The 16,710-nt window shown below is 40.4% G+C and overlaps 1 protein-coding gene across 37 annotated transcripts in view; it reads right to left on the reverse strand.

The window, feature by feature from the left end:
- Positions 1 to 16,710, reverse strand: part of NAPEPLD (N-acyl phosphatidylethanolamine phospholipase D) — a 50,226-nt gene that overhangs the window by 24,399 nt on the left and 9,117 nt on the right. For 32 of the 37 annotated variants that reach the window (NR_169881.1, NR_169882.1, NR_169880.1 and 29 more), the window contains one exon: positions 4,309 to 4,618. Coding sequence is in view for 21 of the 37 variants with exons in the window: in NM_001386176.1 (NP_001373105.1) it covers positions 4,309 to 4,602 (294 nt within the window). In the remaining 16 variants the exon portion in view is untranslated. Of the gene's footprint in view, positions 1 to 378; positions 434 to 4,308; positions 4,619 to 5,110; positions 5,223 to 7,266; positions 7,477 to 16,710 lie in introns of those variants that run through there. The other 5 variants (NR_170077.1, NR_169879.1, XM_047420046.1 and 2 more) reach the window with 3 other exon arrangements.

A 16,710-nucleotide genomic window follows, 5' to 3' on the forward strand; every position in this document is an offset into this window, starting at 1 on the left:
TAGACCAGGCACAGTGGCTCACGCCTGTAATCCCAGCACTTTGGGAGGCCAAGGTGGGTGGATCACCTGAGGTCAGGAGTTTGAGACCAGCCTGACCAACATGGAGAAACCCTGTCTCTACTAAAAATACAAAATTAGCCAAGTGTGGTAGTGCATGCCTGTAATCCCAGCTACTCGGGAGGCTGAGGCAGGAGAACCGCTTGAACCCAGGAGGCGAAGGTTGCAGTGAGCCAAGATTGCACCACTGCACTCCAGCCTGGGCAACAAGAGCAAAACTCCGTCTTAGAAAAAAAAAAGGAAGAAAGAAAGAAAAAGCATATAGAAAAAGGGGTGGGGAGAGGATGGACTCTTGTTTACTTGAGGAAACTAATCACTCACGTGGCATTTTCATGGCTAGATCAAGACTTTCTTGGCTGGTCTTCCTTTTTGAAAGCTGCAAAATGGAAAATCCCAAGACTCATAATTAACCAGTACGCTAGTTAATGTTTTACTTTTCTCGGGAAAAGGGAAAAATCCTAACGTTCATTCAATAGCTACTCTTTGCAAGGTGCTTTAGGTATACTGTGTCATCTAAATTTGTGAAGCAAATATTACTGCCATTTTACAGATGACCAGACCAAGGCAGACTGGGGTCACTAAGAAATTTGCCAAAGTCATGCAAGAGGTAAGTACCCAATCAGGAGTGAAATCTAGGTCTTCCTAACTCAAAAGACCTCTCTTTCACTAAGCCATGCTCCTTCGATGGCATAAATATTAACTTACATTAAAATTAAACAATGAAACTCATATCTTCTTAACATACTTACAATTTTAAGAGTATGTGTTTGTGTGTATTAATGAGACAAAAAAGAAAGATGTGACTCAAATCCATTTAAACCATGTTTTTAAAATATCACTTTTAAAGAAGACACAGTAATACTTTTCTTCCAACTGAAGGTACATTTTCACCATCTTAGAAAACTTTACTACCTATACTGTAATCTGCAACTCAGATTTTTTAAATTAAAAAATAACATTTTTCTTTTTCACATTTGTTATATGTGAACACTGAATAAAGATACATGTGTTACCAAAATAACTCCAATTCAATTAATTATTGATGCCAATGTTTGATATTTTTGCCATGTGTATTAAGAGTATAAGATCTATCAAAATGGCTTAGTATTTTTAAACTCCTTGATTATAAGAGAAAATGCTCTTAATATGTGGAAAATGCAGAAAAATATAAATAGTTGCCATCATTATATCAACATGCAGATATTATAACCACTGTTAACATTATGATCTGTACTTGTAGTTCTATTTTATGAATGGTTGCAATCAGAGTATTCATATTTTCTAGTTTTATAAAAAAATTGTATATGGTGACATTTTCAGTCATCCCTACGACTCTACGAGACACAAGGTTTAAAAATGAAACAAATAGGGCCAGGCACAGTGGCTCATGCCTGTAATCCCAGCACTTTGGGAAGCCGGGGCGGGTGGATCACCTGAGGTCAGCAGTTCAAGACCAGCCTGGCCAAACATGGTGAAACCCCATCTCTACTAAAAATACAAAAAAAATTAGCCAGGCGTGGTGGCAGGCGCCCATGGTCCCAGCTACTCACAAGGCTGAGGCAGAAGAATCACTTGAACCCGGGAGGCAGAGGTTGCAGTGAGCCAAGATGGCGCCAGTGCACTCCAGCCTGGGCAAAAAGAGTGAGACTCTGTCTCAAAAATAATAATAATAATAATAATAATAATAATAAATAAAAATGAAACAAATTCTTGAGGAAATTTTTCAGAATGCAAATTTTTTTCAAATTGCTGAAATTTATTAAAATTGAAAGACATTGTTTAATTAATCTTCTCTGCCATGAAACTCCATCAGGCTGTGTACAAAAACCACTGGGAGGCTGAGGGTCACTAGAGCCCGGGAGTTTGAGGCTGTAGTGAGCCTCAAAGGGCTACTACACTCCAGCTTGGGTGACAGAGTGAGACCCTATCAAGGTTTGCATGCTTGCTTGCTATCTGTGGTCATTAAAAACCCTAGACCTCTTTAGGAAATCAGGTCTGCCTGCACTTCTCCAAGCATGAATTTTGAGTTCTTTGCTTCTTTAAAACTTGCTCCATGTGCACTGTTGTCAAGCCGATTCTCTATACCTTTAAAAGGTCTCCAAAAATCTGCACTCAATCAACAGATAAAAACGTTACCAGTAATAAAACCATAAAGCTAGTCTAGACAAGTAAGATTCTATCATTTCAACTTCCAGGCTTCTGTTTAATGCCTATGTGCCAATGGCTAAAGTTAGGCTTGCTCTTTAGGACCTCAGCAGTTATCCTCATACCTCCTTTGGGACACAACTGTTCATAAGGCACCATCAAAAGCCACACTGCATCTGCACCTAGCATCATTCCTCCCAGGGGCCACCTCCTCAGAATGCAATTTTTTTTGTTTTGTTTTGTTTTTTGAGACAGGGTCTTGCTCTGTCACCCAGGCTGGAGTGTAGTGGCACGATCTTGGCTCACTGCAACCTTTGCCTCCCAGGCTCAGGTGATTCTCCTGCCTCAGCCTCCCAAGTAGCTGGGATTATAGGCACACTCTATTGCACCTGGCTAATTTTTTGTATTTTTTTTTTTTTTTTTTTTTTTTTGGTAGAGATGGCATTTTGCTATGTTGCCCCGGCTGGTCTCGAACTCCTCAGCTCAAGCAATCCACCTGCCTCAGCCTCCCAAAGTGTGGGTATTATAGGCATGAGCTACTGCACCTAGCCATGTAATATTTTTAAAAAGATAAAACATAGAAGAAATTTTCTTAAATTACAGAGAATTGATCCAGGAGGTCCAAAATAGAACTACTATAACTAATAGTCATTTTAGAATAAAAACATATAGGGAAGGACATTTTCAAAGATACAGATGAAATTTCCTAGAACTGAAGGAAATGGATTTTCAGACTGAAAGGGCCCACCACACACAGAGCACAATGAATAAATAAAGAACTACACATCGTGGCAATTTTCAGAACACTGGTGCCAAAGAGAGGATTCTCAAAGTCTCTAGAGAGAAAACAAAGGGCCTGTTCAAAGGATCAAGAGTAAGGACGGCACTGAACTTCCCCACAGCCACACTAGAAATAAAGTTATGGAGGCAATACTCTCAAATTCTGAGAGAAAACTGTTTCTAAACAAAAATTCTATACCCAAATTATCAATTATGAATGAGAATAAAGACATTTCAGACAAGCAAGAATTCAAAAAACTTACTTTCCATGTACCCTTTCTCAGGAAGTTCACTGAAAATATGCTCCACCAAAATGAGAAAATGACACAGAAAGAGGAACAAGTGGGATGCAGAAAACAAGGGTGACCATAGAAGACACAAGGGAGCCCAGGAGGCTGGTGAAGGGTGCCCTAGAATGTAAGTCGGCAGAGACCCTGGGAAGGCATCAGCTCAGACTACAGCCCACTGCTGAACGACCACCTGAGAGTCTTTCCCTCAGGAAAATGGCATTGAGAGGCCATAGGAGGCAGGGAAATAATTGTCATAAATACACAGAAAGTCAAGCAGATGAAAGAGATGTTGTTAACACAGCAGAGGGAGAGGTATATAAGGAAAGGAGACACAGTCATAGTACTTACTTCATTCACCAATGAAAAATATTGATATACTCAATGTAAACCATGAAATCAACTTAACCCAAAACTGTGATCTGTCTATTCTAACAGAATAGAAGAAGGCCAAGTAGAATCATCTTAAGTAAAACTAGTACATTTAAAGGCTAGGAACCTAAAGTCAACTTTTCAAGGTCTGGAAAGGTCATCTGAAGCTCCCTTTCACAGCTTTGGTAGCCTTATCCAAGGGTTAAAAGCCAAGCACTCCAGGCCATGCCTTCACCCTCATGATCCATATTCTACACACGTACCAGGCTACTACCTTCCAGAGCAGGTAATACACTGTCTCACCTTCATGACCTTGTTCATGCCATCATCTACCTGGAAAATCACTGTCAAAATACTTTTTAGTTGACTAGGCCCAGCTGAAATATTCACCTCCTCTGTGAAGCCATCTCCAGCTCTTCCTGTCAGCATCACGTTCTTTCCTGTACCTCTAAAGCACTCTGTTCCTACCTCTAGTTGCCACCAGATCAGGGTTGGTTATTCCTATATGTACTCTGCTACTGAACGATGAACTTTAGGGCCTAGGTTACACCTATCCACTTTATCTCCTCAGACCTAATTCTATGCCTTATGATATACAAGGGCTCAAATAACTAGAGTGTCATATATGAAGAGCAAATATAAAGCACTCAAAAAAGCCAAGCGCTACCTCTTTAGAACTTGGAACACTGCTGTGATCTTTCTCCATTATCAGCCATCTGAGAACATTTGGAATAGAGGGGTTTTTCCATGTTGGCCACGGATTCACAAATCTCCCATCTTTTCCTTTCTTGGATTTAGTTACATCTTCTTCTAGTCTATAATCCAGTTTGAAGCTTTTCCTAGAAAACCTAGAAGAATCACTTGCTCCGGAATTCCGTGCTGAATTTTGACGTTTTCTTACTGCTTCTTTAGGATATTGGCTGCTTGTCATCAGAGACTGGTTGCTTTCATTTTCATCCATGTCCTTTGGTGAAGAACTAAAAAAAACAAGGGGGAAAAATACTGAGTTGAACATAAAGGCATTCAAACATAACACAAGGTACTATTTGTTAGCCAATAAAAATTTCTCTAAACTTATAAAAATATTATGTCTGTATTAGCTGAAACTTTCTTCCTGCAAGGCACAATTTTAGAATACAGTATTACTTCTTGCTAAATAAGAAAGATGTGCCAGGCGCAGTGGCTCACACCTATAATCCCAGCACTTTGGAAGGCCGAGGCAGACAGATCACCTCAGGTCGGGAGTTCGAGACCAGCCTGACCAACATGGAGAAAGCCCATCTCTGCTAAAAATACAAAATTAGCCAGGCATGGTGGCACATGCCTGTAATGCCAGCTACTCAGGAGGCTGAGGCAGGAGAATCGCTTGAACCCTGGAGGTGGAGGTTGTGGTGAGCTGAGATCACGCCATTGCACAAACAAACAAACAAACAAAACAAACATGAAAGAAAGAAGGATGTTTGCTTTACCTATTAACATAACTGCCAAGCCCTTAAAAAATCCTTTATCTCCTGTAATCCAAAACAACATATTTCCCCAGCCAGCATGTAAGCATATTAAATTTTCCATTTCAATGACATTCTGTGGAATAAATTAAGGCACCTTCATAAATCTATAGTATTTTCATACATGTATTTAGAAAACATTATTGTTAACAATGCATAGTAAGGACTGCTTCAGTTCCTTGAGGGAATTTAGTAATTCAAGCAAGTCGAATATATACACCACTAGGCTTAGTCATATTTACACTGAAGATATTCTGTAACCAATGCCCCCAGAAAGAACAGCCAGTCCAAATCCCTGGAAAGGAGATAACACATTAACTGAGAGACATTTCAATAATGTATTTAACTGATCAATAAAATACATTTAAATATATGAGAACTGCCAAGTCAGTGAGTATGTATCCTAGCTATACGACCTTGAGCCAGTTTCCCACCCTCTCTGTACCCTGATTTCCTCACCTATAAAATGGAGAGAACGTTACTTCCCTCCTAGGTTTATTAAGAAGACCTGTAATACAAGTAAGGCACTTGGAAACATAGTAACACACACATAAACCCAACATCACAGCTCAATCAATGTCAGCTGTTGCTGCTGACCTTGTTATTCCTGCTACTACTGCTACTGCTTAACTCAAGGCATTAAAATCCCTGATTTTGACCTATATAGGACTCCAGATACACAAAAGTGATAAGTAACGTATCTGCCATGAATTTCATTTCTTTCTTATTCTGTTAAACATTTGCTTTCTGTTTCATTAGTTTAAATACAGTGCACACACACAGCACATTTTATAAGTGGAAATAAGGAAATGAGCACAGTAACAGAAAGCCAAATATTATTTTTATGGCTACAATGGTGTTTAAATAGAAATACTGCCCCAGAAAGAAAGGGAAAAACACAAACCCTAGGATGAATACGTACACAGAACCAAAACTTTTTTTCCAAACTGTCTAGAGTAAGCAGTCTGTAATCTAGAGAAGAATCACTGTGAAGAAAAGAAACCCCAGCTGACTAAAGCTAAAGCACACGCTGTTGCTCAGCCATCGCTGTATGTGGGAGAGCTCAAGAGTTAAGAGAGAGTCTAACAAGATTTATACTTTGGGCAAATAGCCTACCCTTTCTCATCCTCCATTTTCTCCTGGTAAACTATCTACCTACCTGTGGAGGTTTCTCTCAAAGGATCAAATGGCACAGGTACATAATGTACTTGGCACTCACAAATGCTCATTCTTCTTTTCCCTAATCTTGTTAACTGGCCATACATCTAAATTGTTTATTTTTTTTTATTTTTGAGACAGGGTCTCACTCTGTCACCCAGGCTGGAATACAGTGGCTCAATCACGGCTCATTGCAGCCTCAACCTCCCGGGGCTCAGGGTATTCTCCCACCTCAGCCTCCCAAGTAGCTGGGACCACAGGTGTGTGCCACCATGCCTGGCTAGTTTTTTTATTTTTTAGTAGAGATGGGGTTTCACCGTGTTACCCAGGCTGACCTGGAACTCCTGGGCTCAAGCAATCTGCTTGCCTCCTCGGACTCACAAAGTGCTAGGATTATAGCTAAATTCTTTAAGTTATTCTAGAACTTAAAGTGGTCTCGGAGAGTAAGCTCTCATAGAATCACTTTTTCTGGGTTATAATTAAGTTCAGGCCAAGGACTTTACAAAGAGCAGAAACAATGACCATCCATCTGAACCTCACTTCGTTTAACAGATGAAAATGTACAAGTTTAGAGAGTTTAAGTTACTTCTCAAAAAGACAATATGTCCAACAGATGGCAGAAGTGACCTCATGCTACTCCTTGTCATGATAAAACAGCTTATGAGATATCTGTATTTGTCATATACATATACATATGTATGTATATATATACACATATATATCATAATTCTACCAAATACATTAATAAATGTTTGGCTCATTGTTTTAAACAATGAAGGGATAAGGGAGAAAGGAAAAAAGGACACTTTGATTCAAAGACCACAAAGACAACATCAAAATAGGGTTTTGAACAACATCTAGTGGTCTAATGTAGCTAGGACATAAAAAGCAAGGAAGGGCCAGGCGCAGTGGCTCAACGCCTATAATTCCAGCACTTCAGGAGGCCAAGGCAGATGACTCACCTGAGACAAGGAGTTCAAGATTGGCCTGGCCAAGATGGTGAAACCCTGTCTCTACTAAAAATACAAAAAGTAGCCGGGCGTGGTGGACCTGTGCCTGCAATCCCAGCTACTCAGGAGGCTGAGGCAGGAGAATCACTTGGACCCTAGAGGCAGAGGTTGCAGTGAGCCGAGATCGCGCTGTTGCACTCCAGCCTGGGTGACAGTGAGACTCTGTCTCAAGGGGAAAAAAAAAAAAAGCAAGGAAGGTTTGTGAAAGTCGAGACTATAGAGGGTTAAAAGACTGGACAGTAAAGATGGGACTAGATTGTGAGCCTGGACTCCCTCTAAGGAGGTTAGGCTACACTGCAAGCAATGGGGAAACACTGAACACACTTAAAAGGCTGTGTACTTAAGGGCTGGACACAGTGGCTCATGCATGTAATCACAGCCATTTGGGAGGCCGAGGCGAGTGGATCACGAGGTCAGGAGTTCGAGACTAGCCTGGCCAACACAGTGAAGGCTCGTCTCTACTAAAAATTCAAAAATTAGTCGGGCGTGGTGGCGCGTGCCTGCAGTCACAGCAACTTGGGAGCCTGAGGCAGGAGAATTGCTTGAACCCAGGAGGCGGAGGTTGCGGAGACTCCGTCTAAAAAGAAAATGATGTACTTAGGGAAGACAACTCTGATAGCAGGATTAAAAAGAAAGGAAGTGGCTAAAAACTGGAGCTTGGGAGATGGATTGAATGAAAACAGAAGAAGCCTAGAACACCCAATAACACTGAACCACCATGCCACATATTTCACCTATTTCATTTAAACTCATGCTCCTAGCAAACCCTCAAGGTAGGTATTATAATCCCCACTTTTTAATAGTGAATAGCAACCCAGTCAAAAGATGAGGAGGCAGTGCAATGAGAAGAGAAAAAGCAGAATAAATCCAAGAGACAACAAAGAAGATGAATCAGTAAGACTTGAGAGTATTTGGATAGTCACAAATTTTGGACTTTGTAGGGCTGGTTGGTCAGGAGGAGAGTGGGAAGAGTCAGAAATGGCAGCACCACTAATCAAGGTGGATTGTGACCCAGTGAGTTTGAGAAGGGTTTGAGGTCATGGGAAAGCAAGAACCCAAGAGAAAGTCCTCATTGACACCCAAAGGAAATGGATTCAGGCTGCTTTAGGGGTAAAAATAAATAAATAAATAAAATAAAAAATAAAAATAAAAATAAATAAATTAGCCCACTGTGGTGTTGCAGGCCTGTAGTCCCAGCTACTGGGAGGATCCCTTGAGCCCAGGAAGTTGAGGCTGCAGTGAGCTGTTATCATGCCACTGCACTCCAGCCTGGGCGACAGAGCGAGACTCCGTCTCAAAGAAAGAAAGAAAGAAAAGAAACAAAAAGAAGAGAAAAGAAAAAATTGGTGCAGTGATCTTTCTTCTCTCTAAATAATAAGCTTTTTCAAAGTTGTCTATTCACACAATCTCCATTTCCTCACCTCCCATCCACTCAGTCTTTCACCCCAATCAATCTGTGGAAACAGGTCTCATTACCAAATAGCCATCCTCTCCTAACAAACCCCCTCCCCTAACACACACAAAGTCCAGTTTTCAGAAATGCTCTTTAAAAAACAAAAAACAAAAAAATCTGATACAAACAAAACGAAAAAACCTCCAAAGGGTTTTTTGAGGGCAAAGGTCAGCATGATGGTTCACAGGGTCTGTGTTTCTAACCTTACCCACACTCTCCACACTCTCCTCTGCTCCATAAACACGGCCTGAAACTATTTCCTCAGATGTATCATGTACCCACTTCAGGGCGACCAACTGCCACGTTGTCATATCCTTGGGGTATGGGGAAATGTATAGTCACAGGATTATGGACTGCCATCCATGACAGATGTTAAAGCAACACAAAATGATCAAACTATGAAACACCATTTCACACGATGCACTGTTGAAAGGGCAAGAAGGAGCAGAAGCACGTAAAACCTGAGCCTTGAAACTCTGGACTGGTTTTTCTGGAGGAAAAATACTGGGAGCCCATTTGCTGAATGTGCAAAATGACACGCTCTGCCAACAGGTGCTCCAGTGACAAAGGAGCCTCAGCCCGAGAGTGGGTCACACAAGAACGCTCCTCATGCCCAGTGTCTTCTGGGCACTCAGAAGACCACAGATAAAATGACAGAAAAAGTAGGAATGAGGAAGAGTGGGTTGTCTGTATGGTCCTGTGTTAACTAGCTTTGAGCTCTTCAAGCTTGACAAACCCCTTAACATATCTAGCTAGAGTTTCTGTAATTAAATGTGGCAAATTTCAAACTATTTCTTGTTATGTAACTGTTTCCAAAATTAACAATGTAAATGAAAATAATCCACCCTTGATTTCAGGCCAACACCAACTGAAAGTAGATGTGTACATGAATACACAAAAACTGTAAACAACCTGTGTTTCAAAAAGTGCTTTAAAACTTGATAAAGATCTTTCCATTGTACTGATTTTGATTCAATTTAAGATCCATGAATTCTGAAAGAGCAATCTAAACAAATAAGTAATAAATAAATAAAAATACCATGAATTGTAAGGCACCCTGATGTGTCATGTGCCACTAAGGAAGTAAAAATGTTATCAATTATAGTTAGGTCACACGTTATACATGACATATAGTGATATCAGTGGTGTTAAAATGTGAATAAAATGTCTATCTCAAAATGGATGAAATATAGCATTTTGTGTTGGAAAATAAATACGTTGGGACAGGAGTGAAAACATTGCTCTTGATAATTAAATATAATCAGAAGCATAATTAATTGCTCATCCTCTTTCCCTCTGTGAACAACAGTTAGTTATAAACATACCAAATGCTAAATTTGTTCTAGAAAACTAGAATCCAGAAGAAAATTTAAAGGTAACAAACCCCTGTGACAATTGTATTTTAAATATAAAATACAAATGTTCTAGCCAGGCACAGTGGCTCATGCCTGTAATCCCAGCACTTTGGCAGGCCGAGGCAGGTGGATCACCTCAGGTCGGGAGTTCGAGACCAGCCTGGCCAACATGGTGAAACCCCATCTCTACTAAAAATACAAAAATTAGCTAGGCATGGTGGTGTATGCCTGTAGTCCCAGCTACTCAGGAGGCTAAGGCAGGAAAATCACTTGAACCCTGGAGGCAGAGGTTGCAGTGAGCCGAGATTCCAGCCTGAGCGACAGAGTGAGACTCCATCTCAAAATAAATAAATAAATAAAAATAAAAAATAAAACAAATGTTCTTTTTTAAAGAACAATGTATTACAAAAAGGACAACATAAAGTCCATCTAGTAATTATCAAGGACATTCTCTACATTTTTTGAAGATTAATTGCCTATTTAAGAGCAAAAGGACTTATCCCTGTGTCTCCAACCAAAGAGAGGTCTGGGCTGTGACATTTGGTGAAGACAAGTCAGCCAAGTACAAATATTTTCTCTCAATAACTGCACATATGGGTAAAATGCTTTCAAAAAATAAGAATTCTCTATTTCAAAAGCAAATGTTTCATGCTTTCTTTTTTCAACATTTAAGATTTGCCAACTGCCTAGAATTCAATGCACTGCTTTATCATGTAAACAGCTAAAGAAAAAAATCACAGTAGTAAAACATACCTTTGGGATTTCAACACACTCATAAATTATGAAGCGGCAAATCATTCCCAGAGTAGACATTTAATAAATACTAATTGAGTTCTTGTCCATTACGTAACAACAAAGATGCTGATGTTAAATCTGGAAAGTATTCAGAAGTGTATTTTCAGATATCTCTGACTAAATAACATTAAACTTACTATTCTGTATTTGCTCTCCTTATCCTTATTGAAGAGAAAGGGCCCTTTTGATACAATGCTAGATAACATGGCTAATGAAACTACGTCAATTCACTGAAATGTCTGCAAAGGGCTTCAGTGGGGGTAAAATTAAACTGTTCCCATCCTTCACATTCAATAAGATTCCAGGCAATACTGGTATTACTCCCAGAGGCATTTAGGGAACCAGTGGGAGGGCAGATACATCCAAGCACAGGAAGTACACTGGATAATAAGAGGGAGAATGTTCTGTGGGAGGTATGTATACAACATTCATCAACCAAAAAAGTATTGCACTGTTATCACTGAACTTCATTCTTACCACACTTTATTGACTTAGCAAAACAACCAGTTTTGCTAAGAAGCTAAAAGAAAACAAAGCAAACAGAAGCTTAATATACAGGATCTGAGAGTATGACAACATTTAATAATAATTATTGCATCAAAAATAGAACATACACGCATAATATACATTTAGATATATGTACATATAAATCTATATATATATATATATCACCAAACAATTTATCTTCACTAGAGTGGAAAGAACACTAGTTAGGAGTCAGAAAAACTGGACTCCAGTTCTACTATTAACTAGAGATGTTAGCTTGCAGGGAGTAACTCAGCCTCTCTAAACTTGGGCTTATTCATCTGTTCAATAAAGATTGTAACTCCTAAACGTTGTTTTAAATGTCTGTTAGTCATTTAAGGAGACCATGAGTTAGTAGTTTAAAGTGCTATACATATGGAAATTGCTGGCTAGTTGTGGTGCCTCATGCCTGTAATCCCAATACTTTGGGAGGCCAAGGACAGGAATTCGAGACCAGCCTGGCCAACATGGCAAAACCCTATTAAAAAAAAAACAAAAAACTTAGCCAAGAGTGGTGGTGCATGCCTGTAATCCCAGCTACTCGGGAGGTTGAGGCAGGAGAATCACTTAAACCCAGGCGGTGGACGTTGCAGTGGGCTGAGATCATGCCACCGCACTCCAGCCTGGGTGACAGAGTGAGACCCCACCTCAAAAAAAAAATGCAAATTGTTGAGGCTGGGAGCAGTGGCTCACACCTGTAATCCTAGCACTTTGGAAGGACGAGGTGGGCAGACTGCCTGAGCTCAGGAGTTCGAGAACAGCCTGGCTAACATGGCAAAACCCTGTCTCTACTAAAAAAAAAAAAAAAATACAAAAAGAAATTATCTGTGTATGGCAGCCCGAACCTGTAGTCCCAGCTACTTGGGAGGCTGAGGCAGGAGAATCACTTGAACCTGGAGGCAGAGGTTGCAGTGAGCCAAGATTGTACCACTGCCCTCCAGCCTGGGCGACAGAGCAAGACTCTGTCTCACAAAAAAAAAAAAAAAAAATGCAAATTGAAGAGTAAAGAATATATGATAAATAGGACCTTTTGATCCAACTGAGTTGTTTTTCAGGTGAAAGATAAAACATTCTAGAATTTCATATGGCTTTAAAAGCCTAAGTTACTGAATTTTTTTCATTTTTCTTTCCTTAATTTCACGTAACAAGACTATAAAAGTAAGTAAGTTTTGTTACCTTTTAAAAAAATGTATTTTCTTTTGTTAAAACTTCAAATTTGTCGCAAAGCATTCATCCAATTATAGACAAAAAATTATTTTGACAAATAATTCACAAAGAAATGCCAACCAACCAAAAGCATTTAAGAGTCCAAATAAATTGTTTGTTTGTTTGTTTGTTTTGAGATGGAGTTTTGCTCTCATTGCCCAGGCTAGAGTGCAGTGGTGCAATCTCGGCTCACTGCAACCTCCACCTCCCAGATTCAAGTGATTCTCCTGCCTCAGCCTCCCAAATAGCTGGGATTACAGGTGCCCGCCACCATGCCCAACTAATTTTTGTATTTTTAGTAGAGACAGGTTTCACCATGTTGGCCAGGCTGGTCTCAAACTCCTGACCTCGTGATCTGCCCGCATTGGCCTCCCAAAGTGCTGGGGATCACAGGCATGAGCCACTGCTTCCGGCCCCAAATAAATAGTTCTGAGAGGAAAGAATGCAAAACGCAATTTGAATCTTTGGGATACAGTATATTAACAGACTTTAAGTCACCAAAATACATAAACACTCTAGAAGCTTCCTCTATAATAAGAGGTTTTCCCCATATGTAAGAAAGCAAAGCTTTCATTAGAATCAAAAAGAATGAAACAAGAGAAACAGCTGGCTTAAGAACAAAGCCTATTTATGAATACCTTTTACGACTGGAATCCTTAGGGTGATCAAATTAAAATATCATGTTACGGTAAATTTGGAAAACATGCATAAAATATTTATTGAAATAACATAGTTATCATCTCTTTAATACCTTAAAAAATAATAGCAAGCACAAAGTGCAGGTTCATTTCCGGTATAATCAATTATACCTAAATGATATACATAAGTATTTAATTGAAAAGGTCAGGCCAGGTGTGGTGGTGCGCATCTGTAGTCCCAGCTACTCAGGAGGCTGAGGTGGGAGGACTGCTTGAACCCAGGAGGTAAAGGCTGCAGTGAACTGTAATTGAGCCACTGCACTCCAGCCTGGGTGACAGAGCAAGATGCTGTCTCAAAAAAAAAAAAAAAAAAAAAGAAAAAGAAAAAGAAAGAAAGAAGAAAAGAAAGGAAAACCAAAAAAAGGTTGGGGGAGGACAAGGTAGGAGGAACAGTAAGTTGATGCCTGTGGAACTTGAAATGCGTCCTAAATATGTCAGATGATCTTTCTTTTTTGCTTTTTTTCTTTTTTTTTTTGAGACGGAGTCGCGTTCTGTTACCCAGGCTGGAGTGCAATGGTGCAATCTCGGCTCACTGCAACCTCCATCTCCCAGGTTCAACCGATTCTCGTGCCTCAGCCTCCCGAGTGGCTGGGATTACAGGCATGCGCCACCAAGCCTGGTTAATTTTTGTGTTTTTAGTAGAGATGGGGTTTCACCATGTTGGCCAGGCAGGTAGATGATCTTAAATGTTCATTTACTGTTCCTGAGCCAAGATTTTAACCAAAAAAAAGCTTCCAAAATGGGACTACTTTCTCTCTACTATCTCCATCTCATAATTACGTATACAAAAAGAAAACCTTCCAATTTAATGCATAACCTGTAAAGAAACGGAAAGGAGAAACATGTCTTCATAGCTCCTGGACAGGACAGAGAAAGAGGGAAAAAAGCACACTTTTCAATTCTTTCTGACTTCAGTCCAGTTCCCACTTTGACTCTACTGAATTCTACAGCCCTTTTTTTTTTTTGAGTCAGAGTTTTGCTTTTGTTGCCCAGGCTGGAGTCCAGTGGTGCGATCTCAGCTCACTGCAACCTCCACCTCCCAGGTTCAAACGATTCTCCTGCCTCAGCCTCCTGAGTAGCTGGGATCGCAGGCACGCACCACCACACCCAGCTAATTTTTTGTATTTTTAGTAGAGACAGGGTTTCATCATGTTGGCCAGGCTGGTCTTGAACTCCCGACCTCAGGTGATCCACCCGCCTCGGCCTCCCAAAGTGCTGGGATTACAGGCGTGAGCCACCACACCCAGCCTTCTGTAGCCTTTAAAAAGTCACTTAACATCATTGAGACTCACTTTCATTCATCTGTAAAATAGAGGACTGGGATGTATCTCTAAAGTCTCTCCACCTCTAAAATTCTAACAATCTTCGGCTGCACCAAAGAGCCAGCTCAGGCCACTAAAGAGCTGTCCCCTCTAACTCAGCCTTGGCCAACCCCTCCTATTTCCACTCCCTCAAATAAAATTCCCAGCTCAGGTCCAGCTGCCTTCCCCAGGCTGGACTGGCAAGGGATAAGCGAAGTATTTCACCTGAGAACAGCATAGTTATCTACTGGAAGAAAGTGCAATTTCACAGGTTTATCAGGTAGGCTAGGAGGTTATTAAGAGCCAGGACATATAAATCTGATACAAATAGCCATTAGATTTTCAAACTTAAAAAGATTCCAGATATTACCTGTAAGGGCTTCTACTTAAAGCATTTTAAAAGTTGCATTTAACAAACATTGTTAGAATGTCTACTTTATCTAAGTCCTAGCTCTCCAGTTGCTGTGGAGAATATGAACCCCTGACCTCCAGGGATTCAAAATCCATTAGGGAAAAAAATCATAAGAAACCATATAGATTTTGGCTCAGTATCACATTTACAGAAGTGTCAGCTCTGATTAATGAAAATGGTATAGACTTTAGAATAAGGCATTTCCAAAACATACTGGCCAAATTCTCAAGATGGTGAGGAATACTTTTCCTTAAGTGCTGAGCGGTCCACAGTGACAGCAAGAGTCCTGTGATCCAGCAGGTCAGAGACACTGAAAAGCTCAGAACTTTCTGAATTCAGCCAACAAGTTAAAGGGCGCTGATGGCAACAGAGAGGGTGATGGAAAGAAACAAAGTCACTAGAGAGGTTACTTGAACCCTGATTCACTCACAAATGAATTTGGCAAAGGGGCAGACATGTTATTCTGCCCGCAGTGTCATGCGTGGTCCATCCTCTGGGAGAAAAATGACAAAAAAATAAACGAACAGTGAGACTTTTACAGGGAAACAAGGCCCAGGACATGACTACATCAGACCCTGTTCAGCCATCTCCTGAGTCTTCTGTACACTGTAAATAACAGGGTCAGAGTGAGGCTAGAGATATCCCCAAAAGGTTAATAGAATCTTGAGGTTCTAAGGGACTTTAAGATCCCTGAGTTCAATTCAGTAGCCTCTGTTTAAGAATAGCAGAAAGTTTGTAGCAAATTATAAAAGCATATTAAAAATGAATATAACTAAAATATGCTTGAATGGGTTATCAGGAAAAACCACATTACCAGAAGATGGGGCAAAAGAATTGAAAACATCTTAAAATAAATGCTTCCCAACTTTGCCCCTCATCATCCTAAACCTCAGTTTCATAATTCCTAGCCCAGTCTCTGGCACACAGTACATAGTAAGCACTGAATAACTAAGCCACTGTTTCATTATGCTATAAACAGTAACAGTTTTAATGAGATAGTAGGATATACATGTATACCATTTTTGCATTTCTACACTAATGTGATAAGGAAGCTGAGGGAAATGGTATGAATAAACTGAAGCAGAATAAACTCTGGAATGTGTTTTTGTTCTATTTGAGTAAGAGAAGGCCTGATCTTGGAATTCACAGAACTCTTTTTTTTTTTTTTTTTTTTTTTGAAACAGAGTCTTGCTCAGTCGCCCAGGCTGGAGTGCAGTGGCGTGATCTCGGCTCACTGCAAGCTCCGCCTCCCGGGTTCACGTCATTCTCCTGCCTCAGCCTCCCAAGTGGCTGGGACTACAGGAGCCCGCCACCACGCCCGGCTAATTTTTTTGTATTTTTAGTAGAGACGGGGTTTCACCATGTTAGCCAGGACGGTCTCAATCTCCTGACCTCGTGATCTGCCCGCCTTGGCCTCCCAAAGTGCAGAACTCTTAATTCAAAACAGGATTCCTACCCGACCTCATAGTTCCTTGTGGCCTCACTAACCCTCCTGGAGTCACCAGAAGGCTCTCATTAGCTCAGAAGACTCATTGATAGTCTCCTGATTCTGAAAATAATAATCTACCTGACTTCCCTTTATCTCCCTTCACTGGCCCAAGGAGCAGAAGCTGAAAACTCATGATACTAATGGTGGCCACATGCAGACTCA

This window comes from Homo sapiens, chromosome 7 (assembly GCF_000001405.40).
Source record: "Homo sapiens chromosome 7, GRCh38.p14 Primary Assembly".
Taxonomy (NCBI): Eukaryota; Metazoa; Chordata; class Mammalia; order Primates; family Hominidae; genus Homo; species Homo sapiens.